We start from the raw sequence: 20,907 nt of genomic DNA, 5'->3' as shown, positions 1-20,907 counted from the left end.
GATATGCTAATTACTATGATCTAAACACTATACAAGGATTGAAACATCACTATATTCCCCATGAATATGTATAATTATTTGTCAATTAAGAAAATTTAAAAATAAAGACTGCTCAAAATAAAAATGAAGCTCACTAGTCCATAGTAACCAGGGTTGTTTTCTGAAACTTTTCCACAGATATGCTCAGACTAATATGTGTCAACCTACCAGCACAGTGAACAACATGATACTCCCACCTTCAAGTTCTTTCATGTAGCCATAAAAAAGAATGAGATCATGTCTTTTGCAGGGACCTGGATGGAGCTGGAGGCCATCCTTAGCAAATTAATGCAGGAACAGAAAGCCAAATACCGCATGTTCTCGCTTAAAAGTGGGAGCTAAATGATGAAAACACATGGACACATAGAGGGAAACAATACATGCTGGGGCCTTTCAGAGGGTGGAGGGTGAGAGGAGGGTGAGGATCAGGAAAACTAATGGGTACTAGGCTTAATACCTGGGTGATGAAATAAGCTGTACAATAAACTCCCATGATACAAGTTTACCTATGTAACAAACCTGCACTTGTACCCCTGAACTTAAAAGTGTAAATTAAAAAAAAAGAAGAAGAAAAAAAAGTTTCCCATAAAGATCATTATGTTAATAAATATATTATCAAAAAAAAAAAGTTCCTCAAAATTTCAGTATAATGGCCAGTCGCAGTGGCTCACGCCTGTAATCCTAGCACTTTGGGAGGTCAAAGATCACTTGAGGCCGAAGTTTGAAACCAGCCTGGCCAAGTTTGAAACCCCATCTCTACTAAAAATACAAAATTTAGCTGGGTGTGGTGGCACCCACCTGTAAATCCAGCTACTTGGGAGGCTGAGGCACAAGAACCACTTGAGCCTGGGAGGCAGAGGTTGCAGTAAGCCCAGATCGTGCCACTGCACAGCAGCCTGGGTGACAGAGCAAGACTCTTGTCTCAAAAAATAAATAAATAAATAAATTCCAGTATGACTACCATATCTTAGGTATTTGTGGATAGAGAGCCTATGTCTTTAGCAATATCTCTTGGCTAACTTTTTTTTTTCCTCTGGATATCTGAAAACCTAGTCACGGCAAACAAATCACAAGTGAATCATTAAAGAGAAATAATAGAAAGTAAATATCTTTATTTATTTACTTACATGACTATAATATCAAAAATTACATCCCTACACTCTAGCTTATCATAAATCCATGAAAAATTACCTTTTTCCTGAGAAAGCTTTTCCTCCTGGCGTTGATGGGGAGGTTTGTAAGGCGCTGCACCCTGACTGAGTCCTTCAGCCACAAAACCATCCAGAAAAGATAAAGAAGCATCTACCTATATTAAAATTAAGCAAAAATTAGGAATTAAATAAATTTATCCTAAGTAGATTATATAGTCACATAAATAATTTCAGCCCATATATATTTTTTAAAATTCTAAATGAGAAATGAAAACTTCAGTTCTAAAAATGCTACCACAGCCAGGCATGGTGGCTCATGACTGTAATCCCAGAACTTTGGAAGGCTGAAATGGGCGGATCACTTGAGGCCAGGAGTTTGAGACCAGCCTCGCCAACATGGCAAAACCCCATCTCTACTAAAAATACAAAAAAATTAGCTTGGCATGGTGTCACGCAGCTGTAGTCCCAGCACAGCCACCACCCGGGAGACTGCAGCAGAACTGCTTGAACCCAGAAGGCAGAGGTTGCAGTGAGCCGAGACTGTGCCACTGTACTTCAGCCTGGGCAACAGAACAAGATTCTGTCTCAAAAAATGAATGAATGAAAATGCTACCCAACTCTCTAGCTTTCTGAAACATCTATAATCAGATCACCTGCCTAAGAATCTAACAATATAAATCATTTGCACTTACTATTAATTTCACTGCAGTGGAGAATATATTTTTGAGCATCAAATATGTTACGGCATCCTGTTAGGTTCTATAATTGAGACAAAGGAAGACACAGCTCCTACCCTGAGCAGAACTGTAACCCACCAGAAGAAACAGACATATATACTACAAGATATGGTAACTGTATTGGTTTCCTGCTGCAGGGGGCTAAAATCAAGGCTTTGGCAGGGCTGCTTCCTTCTGGATGTACCAGGGGAATCTGTTTCTTGTTTCTTTCAGCTTTTAGAGACTGCCAACATTCCTTGATTTGTGGCCCTATCATTCCAATCTCTGCTTTTGTTGTTACTTCGCCTTCTCCTCTCTAACCTCTTGCTTCACTTTTGTAAGGATCCTTGTGATTATATCATGCCTAGCTACATAATCTAGGATAACTGCCCCATCACAAAATATTTAATTTCATCACATCTACCAAGTTCCCTTCAATGTTTAAGGTAACAAGCACAAATTCCAGAGATTAAGTCATGGACATCTCTGCAAGGGCCATTATTCAGCCTCCCACAGTGCCTTTGATTTAACTATCCTAATATAAACTGAAAATGCTTTTTCACAAATCTATGGAAAATTACTTAATTTCACCAGGAAAAGCGTTAGGAGAATAATTTTTAATGAATAAATGATAAGAGATGAAGAAAGAATGACAGGGAAAGGAGAAAAGAAGGAGATGAACAAAAATGATAGATAAACAAGTGGAGAGAGCAGTGATGACCTCAGAAACCAAAGACTTGCCTCTCCTGATTTAGCAAGTATATACAAATAGCTCAGATAATTTAGAATAGCAAATAATTATCAAACATAAAAATGGCACCTCACTCTCTGAATCTGGAAAGGTTTCACTTAAATAAGATTCTTAGGCCACGCGTGGTGGCTCACGCCTGTAATCCCAGCACTCTGGGAGGCCGAGGCGGGTGGATCACCTGAGGTCAGGAGTTCGAGACCAGCCTGACCAACATGGTGAAACCTCGTCTCTACTAAAATACAAAAATGGGCCAGGCATGGTGGTGGGTGCCTGTAATCCCAGCTACTCGGGAGGCTGAGACAGGAGAATCACTTGAAACCTGGGAGGAGGAAGTTGCAGTGAGCCGAGATCGTACCATTGCACTCCAGCCTGGGTGACAAGAGTGAAACTTCATCTCAAAAAAAAAAAAAAAAAAAAAAGATTCTTGAGATGAGGCTGAGGCTATGTCAACATCATTATTTTTTATTGGAGGAAAACGGAAGTGTAGTTACTCCCTAATATAATACTGTGTGTAGCATATTCATTCATCATTTCAATAAACATCTCTGGAATGCCCACCAAATACTAAAACAAGGCCTCTGCCCTTGAGGAACTACTGAAAGAACTAATGAAGAAATGTTCAAAATGAATACAAGCCATGAAAATCTGAGTCAAAATTAGTGGAAATAATAACCTTTATTTTCTCTTTCTCAGCTAATATGAATAATTCTAATTACCTTTGAAAGTTTTCTAGACCAGGTGCGGTGGCTCACATCTGTAATCCCAGCACTTTGGGAGGCCAAGGTGGGTGGATCACTAGGTCAGGAGTTTGAGACCAGCCTGGCCAATATGGTGACACCCTGTCTATACTAAAATTACAGAAAAAATTAGCCAGGCGTGGTGGCGCGCACCTGTAGTCCCAGCTACTCAGGAAGCTGAGGCAGAAGAATCACTTGAACCCGGGAGGCAGAGGTTACAGTCAGCCAAGATCATGCCACTACACTCCAGCCTGGGTGGCAGAGCGAGACTCCGTCTCAAAAAAAAAAAGAAAGTTTTCTAATTTACACCTGAGGGAGATCATGATATGAAATAAAGAGAGTGAGTATTAAGTGAGAACTTTGGGTTAAAAGGGGTGGTGGCAAAAAGTAGGTGTGAAACTAAAAGGTGGATGATCAAGCTCCAAAATGGTGAAGACTTTAACAAGTAGATTGACAAAATAAAAGGGAAAACCACTTTTTTGGATTCTCAAATAGAGGAGGAATAAAATGACACAGAATTTCAAAGAAGATTAAAAGAAGATAGCCAAACGTGGAGGTTCCTGAAAAGTGGTATGGCCACGGAGAGTATAAAAGCTCCGAAAACCTTCCTCCATAGCTTGTCCTATGCATCTCCTTCCTCTGTATCCTCTGCAATATAGTTTATAATAAACCAGTAAGCTAACACAAATCAAGGAGAAAATGTGGAATAATACTAATGAGATATTGCCCGATTCATGAATCGCTACTAAAAATCAATTTGTGTGCACCCCACTGCTGCCACCACCAGCATGTGCACATGCCATCTTTGGAGGCCCAAGGACTGGCACACCCAATCCTGCCACTGCCAGGACCCATACACACTGCCCAGGGATCTGACAACCATTATGCCCAGCCAACCATTGCTACCAGTGGTGCACAAGGATCAACTCACCTAATGTTCTATCCTCAGCAAAGCCTTTCTACAGCCTCCACTAACAACCACAGCCTAAGCCATTCTATTAGTCCGTTCTTGCACTGCTATAAAGAAACACTTGAGACTGGGTAATTTATAAGAAAAAAAAAATAGGTTTCATTGACTCGCGGATCTGCAGGCTGTACAAGAAGCATGATACCGGCATCTGTTCAGCTCTTGTAAGGCCTCAGAAGCTTTTACTTATGGAGGAAGGTAAAGCAGAAGCAAGCACATCACATGGCGAAAGCAGGAGCGAAAGGGAAAGTCCAGTGTGTGTGTGTGTGTGTGTGTGTGTGTGTGTGTGTGGTAGGGGGAGGTGTTATACTTTACAATAACCAGATCTCTCAAGAACTCACTCTCTATCACGAGGACAGCACCAAGCCATGAGGTATCTGCCTTCATAACCCAAACAACTCCCACCAGGCCCTACCTCCAACGCTGGGGATTACAATTCAACTTGAGATTTGGGCGGGAGATCCAAACCATATCACCACTGAGGAACTCACAGACATCACTGATTATGATTACAGTTGAAGAAATCATCTGGAAAATATACTACTGTGCCCATCCAGAATCAAAGCCCAAGCACCTTATTAACCAACACCACAGATACATCTACAGGGAGAGGTCTTTCCCTACTAAAAGGAATCTATAAACTTAGAACCAACTGCTATGATACCAGATACACATATGTCAATGTGAGGACACAAGAAAAATAAAAAAGCAAAGAAACAAAACCTCCAAAGGAACACAATAACTCTCCAGTGACAGATCCCAAAAAAAGGAAATATATAAAATGCTTGAAAAAAAAATCAAAATAATGATCTTAAGGAAACTCAAAAGATACAAGAGAACACAGATAAACAAAACAAAAATAAATCAAGAAAACAATTCATGATCTGAATGAGAAATTCAACAGAGGTAGACATCATAAATAAGAAACAAACAGAACTCATAGAACTGAAGAATTCAATGAATGAAATAAAAAGTATAACCAAGAGCTTCAACAATAGACTGAGACTCCAAATTTGAAGACATGTCTTTGAAATAAACCAGACAAAAATAAATAAATAAAACAAAGAAAGCATACATGACATATGAGACAACATAAAGCAAACAAATATTTGAATTTTGAGAGTTTAAAGACAAAATGGGTGAAGGCACAGAAAACCTAATTGAAAAATAATAGCTAAAAACTTCCCAAGTCTTGCAAGAGATACAGACATCCATATGCAGGAAGCTCAAAGCGCCTCAAAGAGATTCAACCTGGCCAGGAGTGGTGGCTCACGCCTGTAATCCAGTACTGATTCTAAATAGGAATAAGAGTGTCTCTTCTGGAAAACTGCAGTGAAGATATTTATATCCTGTGACAGTCTCTTTTAATACAGAATAATTGAGGAATTTCTCTTATTTGTTGATTTTAAAAGACATACATATCTGGCGTACATACGATTCTTTGATACATGCATAGAATGTGTAATACGTAAATCAGAGTACTTAGGATATCCATCACCTCTAACATTTATCATTTGTGTTGGGAACATTTCAAATCTTCTCTTTATTTTGAAATATACAAATACTATACAATTATTACTAACTATAGTCACCCTACTGTGCCATCAAACACTAGAACTTACTCCTCTTATCTAGGTATGTTACTAACCATTAACCAACAATTCTTCTTCCCTGCCCCCCGACCCTTCCCAGCTTCTTTATTCTCTACCTCCATAAGATGCACATTTTTAACTTCCACATATGCATAAGAACATGTAATATTTGACTTTCTGTGCCATGCTTATTTTACTTCATAGTGAAATAAGTCCCATCTATGTTGCTGGGATATTATTTGGCTGAATAGTATTCCATTGTGTATACATACCACATTTTCCTTATCCATGTGTCCACTGGTGGACACTTAGGTTGATTCCACATTTTGGCTATTGTGAATAGTACTGCAGTGAACATGGGGGTGCAGGTATACCTTTGAAATAATGATTTCCTTTCCATTGGATAAATACCCAGAGGTGGGATTGCTGGGTTGTTTTTTTTGAAACAATTTTTGGTTTTTTGAAAACTCTCTGTGCTGTTTTCTATAATGGCTATCTTAATTTACATTCCTACTAACAGTGCATGAGTTTCCTTTTTTCTGCATCCTTGGCAACATTTGTTATTTTTTGTCTCCTTGATAACAGCCATTGTAACTGAAATAATATCTCATGGTGGTTTTGATTTACATCTCCCGGATGATTAGCAATGTTGAGCATTTTTTTGTTTACCTGTTGGCCATTTGTGTATCTTCTTTTAAGAAATGTCTGTTGATGACCTTTGCCCACCTTTAAATGGGATTTTTTTTTTTTTTTTTTTTTTTTTTTGCTGTTGAATTGAGTTCCTTATATATTCTGGATATTAGTCCCTTGTTTGTAAATATTTTTCCCCAGTCTACAGATTGTTTCTTCACTCTATTGATTGTATCGTTTGCTGTGCATAAGCTTTTGACCTTAATACAGTCCCATTTGTCATTTTTGTCTTTTTTGCCTGTGCTTTTGAAGTCTTAGCCATAAATCTTTGCCTCGACCAATGTCCTAAAGCATTTCCTCTAAGTTTTCTTCTAGTAGTTTTATAGTTTTGGATCTTACATTAAATTCTTTAATTCATTGTGGGTTGATTTTTTTATATGGTGAGAGATAGGGATCTCGTTTCATTATTCTGCATGCTGATATCAAGGCTTTTCAACACTATTTATTGAAGAGGGTGTCATTTCCCCAATATATATTCTTGGCACTTTGACCGAAAATCAGTTAGTCGTAAATACACGGTTTTTCTGGGTTCCCTCTGTTCCATTGGTGTGTATGTCTTTCTTTATACCAATACCATGTTGTTTTGGTTACTACAGCTTTGTAGTATATTTTGAAATTGGGTAGTGTGATGCCTCCAGCTTTGTTCTTTTTGCTTAGTATTGTATTGGCTATTCAGAGTCTCATGGTTCTCTACAAATTTTAGGGTTGTTTTTTCTATTTCTGTGAAGACTGTCATTGGTATTTTGATAGTACATTGAATCTGTAGATTGGTTTGAGTAGTATGGGCATTTTAACAATATTCATGTGATCCATGAGCATGGGATTTATTTCCATTTGTTTGTATCCTCTTCAGTTTCTTTTATCAGCCTTTTGAAGTTTTCCTTGTAGAGGTCTTCCACCTCCCTGGTTAAATTTATTCCAAGTATTGTATTGTATTGTATTGTATTTATTTATTTATTTTGTAGCTGTTGTAAATGGCATTACTTTCTTGATTTTTTTTTTCTGGCTTGGTGTACAGAAATGCTACTGATTTTTGTATGTTGATTTTTGTATCCTGGATCTTTACTGAATTCTTTTATTGGTTCTAAGAACTTTTTGTTCAAGTCTTTAGGTTTTTCTATATATAAGATCATGTCATCTGCAAAAAGGGACAATTTGACTTCCTCTTTTCCAGTTTAGATCCCTTTATTTCTTTCTTTTGCCCGATTGCTCTAGCTAGGACTTCCAGTACTATGTTGAATAGGAGTGATGAAAGTGGGCATCCTTGCCTTTTTCCAATTCTTAGAGGAAGTGCCTTCAGTTTTTTCTTATTCATTGCAATATTGGCTTTGGGTTTGTCATATATGGGCTTTATGACGTTGAGTATTTTTTTTCTATGCTTTTTCTTGTGAGTTTTTATCATGATGGGATGTTGGATTCTACCAAATGAATTCTCTGCATCTATTGAGATGATCATATGGTTTTTGTCCTTTATTCCGTTAATGTGAAGTATCACATTTATTGATTTTTGTATGTTCAACCATCCTTGCATTTCTGGGAAAATTCCACTTGATCATAGTGTATTATCTTTTTGGTGTGTTATTGGATTCAGTTTTCTAGTATTCTGTTGAGAATTTTTGCATCTATGTTCATCTGGGATACTGGCTTGTAGTTTGTTATTGTTGTTGTGTCCTTGTCTAGTTTTGGTATCAGGGTAATGCTGGCCATATAAAATGAGTTAGGAAGAATGTCCTCCTCTTCGATTTTTTTGGACTAGTTTAAGAAGAGTTGGTGCTAGTTCTTCTTTATAAATTTGCCAGAATTCATTTGTAAAGCCATCTTGTAAGCTTTTCTCTGTTGGGAGACTTACTATTACTGATTCAATGTCATTATTCATTCAGGTTTTCTATTTCTTCCTTGTGCAATCTTGGTAGATGTGTCCAGGAATTTATTCGTTTCCATCAGGTTTTCCAGTTTGTTAGTGTACAGTTGTTTATAATTGTCTCTAATAATCATTTATATTTCTATGGTAGCCATTATAATGTCTACTTTTTTGTTTCTGGTTTTACTTATTTGAATCTTCTCTCTTTCTTGATTAGTGTAGCTAGCAGTTTATCAATTTTGTTTATTGTTCAAAATAACCAACTTTTTGTCTCTTTTTTTTTTGTATCTTTTTTACGTCTCCATTTTGTTTATTTCTGGTCTGATCTTTACTATTTATTTCCTTCTACTAATGTTGAGTTTGGTTTGTTCTTCCTTTCTAGTCGCTTGAGGTGCATCATAAGGTTGTTTGTTTGAAATCCTTCTACTTTTCTGATGTATGTGCTTATTGCTATAAACTTCCCTCTTAGCACTGTTTTTGCCATATTACATAGGTTTTGGTAAGTTGTGTCTGAATTTCCATTTTTATTAGATTCAAGAAATTTTTTCATTTTCTTCTTAATTTCTTCACTGACCTAATCATCACTCAGAAATATGCTGTTTTGATTTTCATATTATTTGTTCAGTTTCCAAAGTACCTTTTATTATTAATTTCTAGTTTTATCACATGCAGCCTGAGAAGGTACTTGCTATGATTTTAATTTTTTCAAATTTGTTGAGACTTTTTTGTGGCCTAACATATGGTCTGTCCTGGAGAATGTTCCATGTGTTGATGAGAAGAATGTGTATTCTGCAGCTGTTGAATAAAATGTTCTGTAAATATCTGTTAGGTCCATTTGGTCTAGACTGAAAATTAAGTTTGATGCTTCTTTGTTGATTTTCGGTCTAGATGATCTGTCTTATTCCGAAAGTGATGTGTCAAGGTTTCCAACTATGACTGTATGGGGTTCTACCTCTCTCTTGAGCTTTAATAATATTTGCTTTATATATATTTGCTTCAGTGTTGGGTGCATATGTATTTACAAATGTTATATGCCCTTGGTAAACTGATCCCTTCATCATTATATAATAACATTTCTTGTCTCCTTTATATTTTTTTTCCAAGTCCATTTTGTCTGATATAACATTAGCTACTCTTGCATGCTTTTGGTTTCTGTTTGCATGGTTATTTTTATTTATCCCTTCACTTTCAGTCTGTGTGTCTTTACAGGTGAGTGAGTTTCTTATAGGCAGCATATAGCTGGATCTTATTTTGTTATCTATTCAGCCAGCCTATATATTTTAATTGAGGAATTTAAACTGTTTTCATTAAAGGTTGTTATGGATAGTTGAGGACTTACTACTGTCATTTTGTTGATTGTTTTATACATTTTTTCCTTTCTTCCTTTTTCATTGTTTAGCTGGATGGATTTTGTGTGTGTGATGATAATATTTGATTCCTTTCTGTTTCTCATTTGTGTATCTGCCTTACCAGTGAGTTTTATACTTTCATGTGTTTTCACGTTGGTAGATATCTTTTCACTCCCAGATGTAAGACTCCCTCAAACATTTCTTTTAGGGTTGGTCTAGTGGGGATGAATTATCTCAGTTTCACCTGTCTGGGAAAGACTTTATTTCTCCTTTATGCTGTGTATAGTATACTTACTCGTCTGGCAGTTTTGGGGGTTTTTTTTCCAGCACTTTGAGTATATCTTCCCATTTTCTCCTTGCCTATAAAATAAGGTTTCTGCTAAGAAATCCACTATTTGTCTGATAGGAATACTCTTATATGTGTGACTTGATACTTTTCTCTTGCTGTTTTTAGAATTCTCTCTTTGTAATTTGACTTTTGTCAGTCTGACTATAATGTGCTTTGGTGAAGATCTTTTTAGATTGAATCTTTTTTTTTTTTTTGAGACAGAGTTTCATTCTTGTTGCCCAGGCTGGAGTGCAATGGTGCAATCTCAGCTCACTGCAACCTCTGCCTCCCAGGTTCAAGCAATTCTCCTGTCTCAGTCTCCCAAGTAGCTGGGATTACAGGCATGTACCACCATGCCCAGCTAATTTTGCACTTTTAGTAGAGATGGGGTTTCTCCACGTTGGTCAGGCTGGTCTCAAACTCCCAACCTCAGGTGATCCACCCACCTCAGCCTCCCAAAGTGCTGGGAGCTTTCAGATTCCCTGTCATACTAATGTGAAAAGGAACTCCAACATTCACCTTAAATGCTACAGAAACCACATTTTGATATATTCCTGATATGTCACAAATGCAAGAATTACTCTGTTTAATGACAACGCAATTTTTAAAAAGATGGAACACCAATGTCTTACCACCAAGTCTTCACAACTCCTGTCAACTGGAAGCAAGCTCTTCATAAGTTCCACATTCTCATGCAAATGTTTTAATTCAAATGCATGTTGTCTCATACAAGTATCCAAAGATATGGTAAATTCATGGATTAATCTCTCAACTGTATTAGAAGAGTGCGCCTGAGATGTCAATTTGGTCACAGCAGCAATTAACCAGGCTTTTGTTTCTGAAGACACAGAGTCATTCATAAGTAACTTGTAGAGCTTAGCTATAACTTCCTCTGGCGTTTCCTTATCTAAGAGGTAGGAATATTCCCCTAATACCTGTAAATAAAACAAAGAGATATTCATATAGAAATATCAAGTTATACAGTAGACTATACTAAAATCTAAACAAAGTACCTACTGCTAGAGTGAATTTAAAGTAGATTAAACATCCTCTCATGGTGAAAAAATTATTAAAGATACAACTGTATATTTTAGGTTCAAAATTATACCAATAATTCAAAATGGCTTTCCCCATCATTGTCATTAACAATATATAAAGCAGCATACCTTTACAAGTTTCTGAACTTCTGGAGTTGGTTGTTGGTTTTTATAAGCACTATCACATCCTGTTATTATTTTCCAGTAAGCACTTATTGATGGTTCTCATGTAATGATGGTTCTTACTACACGTAGTAAGAGGCACTTAAGGTGTTTCATTAAAAATACAGATTTCTAGGCTCCACCCCCAGATATTCTGATTTAGTATGTCTGTGGTCCCCGAGAATATACATTTGAATATGCATCAGCTGATTCTGATGTAGACATTCCACAGAAGAGACTTTAAGAAACACTTATTGGCCAGGCATGGTGGCTCACACCTGTAATCCCAGCACTTTGGGAGGCCGAGGCGGGTGGATCACCTGAGGAGTTTGAAACCAGCCTGGACAACATGGTGAAACCGCATCTCTAATAAAAATAAAAAAATTAGCTAGGTGTGGTGGCACACGCCTAGAGTCTCAGCTACTCAGGAGGCTGAGAAAGAAGAACTGCTTGAACCTGGGAGGCAGATGTTGCAGTGAGCTGAGATCATGCCACTGCACTCCAGCCTGGGCAACAGAACAAGACTCCGTCTCAAAAAAAAAAAAAAAAAAAAAAAGAAACGCTTGTCTATGTCACACATCTAACTTAGGTGACATACAATCCTGTAAGTGAAAGAATGGATAGGGACAGGAGGCAGAGGAATTCTAGGCAGAAAAGGGTGGGGTCCCTGGAGAAGCCCCACCCGCAAGCCAGAAAGCCTGAGACCACGGCCCAAAGTGAGAACTTATATCCCTATTTTCCCATTCAAATGTTGCCTTTTCCTAAACCACCCATGGCCCTGCCCTGCCCTGCCCCATCCTGTGCCTATAAAGACCCCAGACTCAGCCAGCATAGAGGAAGAAGCAGCTGGATGTCAGAGAGAAGCGGCTTTACTTCAGAGGGACAGCTTGACAGCGTAACTTCAAAGAAGAATCCAGCCAGAGACGGCTGGACTTCTGGAGAACATTACCTTCACTGCCCCAGTCCCCCTGTCAGCTCCCCTTCCTGCCGAGAGCCACTTTCACTGGCAACAAAATCCCCTGCATTTATCATCCTTCAATTCATTTGTGTGACCTCATTTTTCCTGGACACCAGATGAGAGCTCAGGAGTGAGTGCAGATACAAAAGGGCCCACTGAGCTGTTAACACTTAAGCCGTCTGCTGATGACAGAGCTAAAAGAGCACTGTAACATGCTCAATGGGGCTTCAGGAGTCATGGGTACTCCCCACTAGATGCTGCCATGGGGCCCATACAGAGTTTTGCTCCTGCCAGAGCCCAAAAGCGACTCACTCTGGCTCCTGCACCCGCTCACCTGCATGCTCACCCTCCCGCGAGGGGTTGAGAGCTACAGGATGAGTAAGTGAAGCACCCGTCTCAAAGCCCACAAAGGGGTCAAGGGGAATTTCCTGTTTCAGAATCATTAATAAACTGATAATTCAGGAAGTATGAAATCTCTCTGATATGGTTGGCTCTGTGCTCCCACCCAAATCTCACCTTGAATTGTAATAATCCCCCACATGTCAAGGGCAGGACCAGGTGGAAATAACTGAATCATGGGGGCAGTTTCCCCCATGCTGCTCTTGTGATAGTGAGTTCTCATGAGAGCTGATGGTTTTATGAAGGGCTTCCCCTTTCACTTGGCTTCATTCTCTCTCCTGCCACCCTGTAAAGAGGTGCCTTCTGCCTTGATTTTAAGTTTCCTGAGGCCTCCCCAGCCATGTGGAACTGTGAGTCAACTAAACCTCTTTTCTTTATAAATTACCCAGTCTCGGATATTTCTTCATAGCAGTGTGAGAATGGACTAATACACTTTCCTAAATGGTGTTTATGGAATAATTTCATGTCTTTGGTATAATATCGGCACCAGCAAGAAAAGGAGGCTGGGTGATAAGCAAGGGAAAATGTATAGCTAGTAAGAAGGAAGAGAAGAGAAGGAAAAAGAAATAGGACTAAATGAGTTCAATCCTTAAACAGTATGATAATTTTTAGGGTGGTTTTATAAAAAATGGAAGGTAGCTCCAGAAGAACAGGTAACATAAGTCCCAGTTCAAAAACCAATGGTAATGGATGTCTGCTTCTGGGAAGATGGAGAAGATGTATTTATCCCTATTCTTCCTACTAAGTATACCTAAAAACCCTTGATATTACATATAAAACATACAGCACATTATCTGTTGTCTCATTTACCTCAGACTGGATGTGGAGAGCCAGAACCTGGAAATGCCAATGGGCACAGACAAAAAGCCCCAACAGGAGCCTGCCCTCTAGTCAATAAGCCAAGAGGACAGAAAAGTTTCAGACAGTAACCCTCCTACTCCAGCCAAATACCACACAGAAAAATCTGCAGCCCCACCCACACCAGCAAAGGCAGAGTGGAGAATCAAGACTTCTACCCTCACCAGGCTGCAAGAGGTACCCCAAATTCCCCAGCAGGGTGGCAACTGAGAAGACTGAGTGGGGAGTCAGGACTTTCATCCCCACTGAGCTGTAGAGAGGCCTACTCCCCTGCAGTGTCAGTGGAGACTAGGCAGGGAGCCTGCACCTCACCTCCACCAAGGAGAAATACAGTGTCCCTGCCTTTCTCTGATGGGAGTGTGTCAGTGGAAGCCTGATGGAGTCAGGATTTTCCCCACTGTTCAGCAAGCCACCCCCTCATAGTGTCAGTATAGGCCACAGAACTGAAGATGTCAATACCCTTCTCTCAACAATTAATAGGACTAGACCAAGAATCAGCAAGGATATAGAAGAACTGAACAACACCATCACAACAGACTTTATAGAACACAACACCCAGAAAAAGCAAAATAGATCATCACCAGCCATCAGAGAAATGCTAATCAAAACCACAATGAGATACCATCTCACACCAGTTAGAATGGTGATCATTAAAAAGTCAGGAAACAACAGGTGCTGGAAAGAATGTGGAGAAACAGGAACACTTTCACACTGTCGGTGGGACTGTAAACTAGTTCAACCATTGTGGAAGACAGTGTGGCTATTCCTCAAGGATCTAGAACTAGAAATACCATTTGATCCAGCCATCCCATTACTGGGTATATACCCAAAGGATTATAAATCACGGTGTTATAAAGACACATGCACACGTATGTTTATTCACAATAGCAAAGACTTGGAACCAACCCAAATGTCCATCAATGATAGACTGGATTAAGAAAATGTGGCACATATACACCATGGAATACTATGCAGCCATAAAAAGGATGAGTTCGCGTCCTTTGTAGGGACATGGATGAAGCTGGAAACCATCATTCTCAGCAAACTATCACAAGGACAGAAAACCAAACACCGCATGTTCTCACTCATAGGTGGGAATTGAACAATGAGAACACTTGGAACAGGAAGGGGAATATCACACACTGGGGCCTGTTGTGGGGTAGGGGGACGGCAGAGGGATAGCATTAGGAGATATACCTAATGTAAATGACGAGTTAATGGGTGCAGCACATCAACATGGCACATGTATACATATGTAACAAACCTGAACGTTGTGCACATGTACCCTAGAACTTAAAGTAACTTTTCAAGCAAACACAGAACATATACCAAGATAGACTGTGCCTTGAACCGTAAAACAAACCTCGAATTTGAAAGAACTGAAATCATACATAGTATTTTCTCTAATCACAATGAAAGCAAACTAGAAATCAGCAACAGAAAGATAACAGAAAATTTTCTAAACACTCAGAAACTAAACAATACTCTTCTGAATAATCCATGACTCAAAGATAAGTCCCAAGGGGGGGAAAAACAACAACAACAACAACAACAAACTGAACTATTGAATGAAAATTCAGTTGAGATTTTTCTTTAAGAAAATTGAATTTATAATTTAATAACTCCCCCAAAAATCTACAAGTCCAGATGGTTTCACTGGAAAATTCTACCAAATTTTTAAAGCAGAATTAACAGCAATTTTATGCAAACTCTTCCAGAAAATAGGAGGGCACATTCCCAAGTCATTTTATGAAACTAGTATTACTTTGATACCAAAACTGGAATACCACAAAAATGAAAACTACAGACCAATAGCCCTCATGACACTAGATAAAATTCTTAACAAAGTCTCAAGAAATCTACAAGAACACTCCTAGAACTATTAAGTTAGTTCAGCAAGACTGTAGGATACAAGATCGAAATACAAAATCTATTGTATTTGTATATACATTTGGCCCTCTGCATCTAAAGGGGATTGGTTTTAGGACTCCCTGTGGATGCCTGAATCCGAAAATAGTACTGAACCCAACTGCCATCAATTGGAACATGCTTCTGATCACGTCTTCCACTCACAAATTTAATGCCTTTTCCATCTTAACTAAGATCTCATCACGCACTGCGACCATCACTTTTGTAATTTAAGGTATGACAGCAAAACAGGATTTTTTTTTCCTTCTTCACCATTTCACAGAGGCAATTTCCCTTCTTACTGTAGAACTTTACAACCTCAGCATATGATGTTTTTCTTTCCTCATTAAGTCAAGAACTTTCACCTTTTCACTTAAAGGAACCATTTTTATAGCTTCTCTTTGGCATATCCAAATTGCCAGCATCGCAACTCTTGTGCTGTGGGGCCATGATTAAGTAAATAAAGGTTTACTACAATATAAGCACTGCAATAATGCTACAGTTCATCTGAAAACCTAGACAGCTACTAAGTGACTAACAGGCAGGTAGTGTATACAGCATGGATACACTGGACAAAGGAATGATTCAGGTCCCAGCTGGGGCAGAGCAGGATGAAGCAGGATGGCTCAAGATTTCATCATGCTACTCAGGACAGCACATAATTTAAAACTTATAAATTGTTGATTTCTGGAATTTTCCATTTCCTATTTTCAGACCATGACTGGCCACAGGTAACTAAAACTGCAGAAAGCAAAACTACAGATAAGGGGGCCGACTGTACATGACCTGTATGCTGTAGAAAGAAATAAAAGACAATCTAAATTAAGTGGAGTGACATGCCACGTTCATAGACAAAAAAAACTAATGGCCACAGAAACCAATAATCAATTCAGGAAGGATAATCAACACTAAAGCCATTGAAGATAGCTGAGGAAAAGATATTTGCACAGCCTCATAGAATCACCTCACAAATTAGTTATAAATTACAAAAAGGAAAGATACCTTTATAATGCAAAGATCTGGAGGTCACCATCTTTTTTTTCTCCCTTTGGTAGAGACTAGGTCTCACTTTGTTGCCCAAGCTGATCTCAAACTCTGGCTTCAAGCAATCCTCCCACCTCCCAAAGTGCTGGGATGACAGGCATGAACCACTGCACCAGGCCACCATCTTAACCCAAACTTATAAACTTACAATCACCAATAAGTGGACAAACTGATATTATATATATCCTGATATGATGCAGTAGGAAATACACAACATTGCCTATGTAGTATTCTCACTAAAAATGTTTAACCTGAACAAAAATAATTAGATATCCAGAATGTAGGACATTCTATAGTTAACAGTAGTCATCCAAAACAAACAAAAAAATCAGTCATAAAAACCAAAAGAAAGTGGGGTTCATTATAAATTAAAAAAGGATAAAGAGACATAAGTAAAGGCAATTTGTGATCCTCAACTGGATCTGGGATTGAAAGGAGGAGAATAATAGCCCTAAGAGACATTTTTTGGTACAAATCCATAAATCAGAGTATGGACAGTATAGCAGGTGATATTAACGAATTACTGTACACTTCTTTTTTTTTTTTTTTTTGAGATGGAGTCTTGCTGTGTCACCCAGGCTGGAGTGCAGTGGCGTGATCTTGGTTCACTGCAACCTCCGCCTCCTGAGTTCAAGAGATTCTCCTGCCTCAGCCTCCCGAGTAGCTGGGACTACAGGTGCGTGCCACCATGCCTGGCTAATTTTTTGTATTTTTAGTAGAGATGGGGTGTTACCATGTTAGCCAGGATGGTCTCGATCTCCTGACCTCGTGATCCACCCACCTCGGCATCCCAAAGTGCTGGGATTACAGGCATGAGCCACCGCGCCCAGTGTCTTTACACCTCTTGGGTATGACAACAGTTTTATACTTATGTCATTCATAGAAGATTCATGTTGAGGTTTTAGGAGTGAAGTGTCACAGTGTCTGCAATTCAATTCTAAACAGCTCAGCAAAACAAACTGTATATAGGTAGACCTAGATATACCTATAGATGCAGATACAGTAAAACAAATGTAGTTAAAAATATTTAACTGGGCCGGGTGTGGTGGCTCACACCTGTAATCCCAGCACTTTGGGAGGCTGAGGCAGGTGGATGACCTGAGGTCGAGAGTTCGAGACCAGCCTGGCCAACATGGCAAAACCCCATCTCTGCTAAAAATACAAAAATTAGCCAGAAGCAGTGGCGTGTGCCTGTAATCCCAGCAACTCGGGATGCCAAGACAGGAGAATTGCTTGAACCCAGGAGGCAGAGGTTACAGTGAGCTGAGTTCACGCCACTGCACTCCAGTCTGGTTGACAGAGAAAGACTCTGTCTCAAAAAAAAAAAAAAAAAAGAAAGAAAATTAACTGAAAAAACTAAACTAAAAGTATATTTCATTATCTTAGTCTTTTAACTTTTCTGCAGATGAGAAAAGAAAAATTTTTAAGTAAAAATCTGGGGAAAATTTAAGCTAACATGCTAACATTTGGCAATTCTATAAAATATTAAAATGTGCATACCATATCACTTCTCTAAATCTCCCCTAAAGAAACACTCACCTATATGCACAAGAAAGAATACATAAAGGTAATGACCTGTATGCAATTACATGTGATTACATTACACAAAATTGTGACCTCTGTCTTGAAAAAAAACTGATCTCCACTACTGGCTTTGATGAAGCAGGCGGCCCTGTTGGGAGGCCACATGGCAAGAAACTGAAAGCAGCTCTAGCAGCTAAGGACAGCCTACAGTTAACAGTATGCAAGCAAAACCCTCAGTCACAAAAACTCAGCCACGAGAAAATGAATTCTGCCAACAACCACACGAGCTCGAAAGTGGATTATTTACCAGTCAAGCTTCAGGTGAGACAGTAGCCCTAGCCAACACCTTCACTGCAACCCTGTGAGACCCTAATCAGAGAACCCAGCTAAGCCATACCTGGACTCTTGACCCACAGAAACTATGAGATAATGAATTTGTATTGTCTTAAGCCACTAAGTTTGTGGTAACATTGTTATGCAGCATAAGAAAACTAATATAGCACAGATAGCCTATCAATGATAGACTGGATAAAGAAAATGTAGTACATATACACCATGGAATACTATACAGCCATAAAAAGGAACAAGATCATGTCCTTTGCAGAGACATGGATGAAGCTGGAAGCCATTATTCTTAGCAAACTAATGCAGGAACAGAAAACCAAATACCGCATGTTCTCACTTATAAGTGGGAGCTGAACAATGAGAACATAGGACACACGGAGGGGAACAACACACACCAGCGCCTATCAGGGAGGGTGGTGGGGGTGGAGAGCTTTAGGAAGAAGAGCTATTGTGTACTAGTCTTAATACCTAGGTGATGTGTTAATAGGTGCAGCAAAAAACACCATGGCACACGTTTACCTATGTAACAAACCTACACATCCTGCACAGGTACCCTAGAACTTAAAAAATAAAATAAAATAAAAAAGAAGAAGAAAAGAAGTTAATAATGTAAGTACTCAGCACTGTGCCTGGTACGTTGAAAATGCCTCTTAAAGATGAACCTCCTTCTATTTGGTTAAAATAAAGATAATTTACTGGTTATAATTTTTTAAAAAAGAAAACTAATATAGTAGAGATAAATGAGTATTCAAATATTCAAACACGGATGCACATAAAAAACACAACAAAAACATTGTAAACACAAAGAGACAAGTAAATACCTATATTTAAAAGACCAAACAAGTGAGATGGCAGAGAGAAAAAACAAAGTAAATAGTTAAGTGATAGATGGTGGCCATTTGAAAAATTGACAGCTGAAGGAGTTAGCTGAGTAAAGCGAATGGTTTCTGAAGAAAATATGTTAACATTTGGTTTGTATTAAAAATGTTATAAAAATTTATGATTTAAGGTACTTTGCTCACCCAACTCATAACTTGAAGAAATCTCTGTGGATAGAACACATTTTCCATATCCAGTAAAGTGAGATAAGACTGAACTGCATAGAGTCTTAATTGCTGATCTTCTGTTTCATCATCAAAACCTACAAAGAAATTGATACACCATTTTAATTTCCACAAACTTATCTTAGGACTCTGTAATAAAAACATTAAACTTTAAAATGTTTACTTTACAGAATATAATAGTGTACCAACCTTCCGCTAGTAGTCTCAGAAAGTTATTGGGAATATCAGGATGCATTACATCTCCTCCTACTGAAAACACAGCATTCATTGTCTGAATAAACCATGCATTATCAGGAGCATATGTGTCCACAGTGTTAAGAACAAGTACACTTCCAAATGCTACTTATTAAAATTACCCTTCTGTAGCAATCTTTTAAAAAATAACCCCAATTCATCCTAGTATGGCAGTTTTACCTTTAACCTCTGCCATAAATTGTTCTGTACCCCAGTTTTATGTAAAATAGGTACTCAGTAGAAGCTTATTTAATAAACTTAATAAACTGAGTTTATGTCACTTTGGCACCATACTTGCACAAAACAGTCATCCAATAAATAAATGTGAAATAACTGAAAGAAACAAACCAGCTAACTAGATGCAAATAATGGAAAATTATATTCTTCAAAGAATTCACTTCAAAGAAGCTAAATATTGTTGTATGTCTACTTGAACAAATTGTTTAGTATCTTTTCTTTTTTTCCTTTTTTTTTTTTTTTTGAGGCAGAATCTTGCTCTGTCGCCAAGCCTGGAGGGCAGTGGTGCGATCTCGGTTCACTGTGACCTCCGCCTCCTGGGTTCAAGCAATTCTCCTGCCTCAGCCTCCCGAGTATCTGGGACTACAGGTGCACACCACCATGCCCGGCTAAATTTTTTTGTGTTTTAGTAGAGACAGGGTTTCACTGTGTTGCCCAGGCTGGTCGTGAACTCCTGAGCTCAGGCAATCCTCCCACCTCTGCCTCCCAAAGTGCTGTGATTACAGGTGTTTAGTCTCTTTTCTAATCTGTTCCTCATCAGTTCTAAAGTTCTATCATTCTGCTGGCCAGAGCTACAGCACTGACTAGGACAAAACTACACTTAAGCAATTTCCAATATAATTTCATTAACAGCATTCACTCACTCTTTTTTATAATTAAACAGTAACTTTTTTTTTTTTTTTTGAGACGGAGTTTCGCTCTTGTTGCCCAGGCTGGAGTGCAATGGTGCAATCTCAGCTCACTGCAACCTCCGCCTCCCAGTTTCAAGCGATTCCTCTGCCTCAGCCTCCCTAGTAGCTGGGATTACAGGCATGCGCCACCATGCCCGGCTAATTTTGTATTTTTAGTAGAGACAGGGTTTCTCCATGTTGGTCAGGCTGGTCTCAAACTCCCGACCTCAGGTGATCCACCCGCCTCAGCCTCCCAAAGTGCTGGGATTACAGGCATGAGCCACT

General features: G+C 38.8%; 1 protein-coding gene across 8 annotated transcripts in view, besides 1 other annotated feature; it reads right to left on the bottom strand.

Annotated features, from left to right (window-relative positions):
- AP4E1 (adaptor related protein complex 4 subunit epsilon 1) overlaps positions 1–20,907 on the bottom strand; it is a 98,404-nt gene that overhangs the window by 36,288 nt on the left and 41,209 nt on the right. For 7 of the 8 annotated variants that reach the window (XM_005254264.5, NM_001252127.2, NM_007347.5 and 4 more), the window contains exons 12-15: positions 19,670–19,782; positions 19,439–19,557; positions 10,814–11,116; positions 1,231–1,345 (exon numbers count right to left, since the gene is read on the bottom strand). In XM_005254264.5, the coding sequence (XP_005254321.1) occupies positions 1,231–1,345; positions 10,814–11,116; positions 19,439–19,557; positions 19,670–19,782 (650 nt within the window). Of the gene's footprint in view, positions 1–1,230; positions 1,346–10,813; positions 11,117–19,438; positions 19,558–19,669; positions 19,785–20,907 lie in introns of all 8 variants that reach the window. The other variant, XM_047432327.1, reaches the window with a different exon arrangement.
- Positions 2,758–2,983: a silencer, noted in NCBI's record as "fragment chr15:51258822-51259047 (GRCh37/hg19 assembly coordinates)". NCBI's record gives its function as "represses an EF-1alpha promoter that drives an FKBP-Casp9 reporter gene in an ReSE screen in K562 erythroleukemia cells {active_cell/tissue: K562}" and the evidence as "EXISTENCE:reporter gene assay evidence [ECO:0000049][PMID:32094911]".

Source organism: Homo sapiens, chromosome 15 (assembly GCF_000001405.40).
Source record: "Homo sapiens chromosome 15, GRCh38.p14 Primary Assembly".
In the NCBI taxonomy this organism is placed as follows: Eukaryota; Metazoa; Chordata; class Mammalia; order Primates; family Hominidae; genus Homo; species Homo sapiens.
Note: the sequence above shows the minus strand (reverse complement) of the source record. Positions and strands in the feature narration are given on the sequence as shown.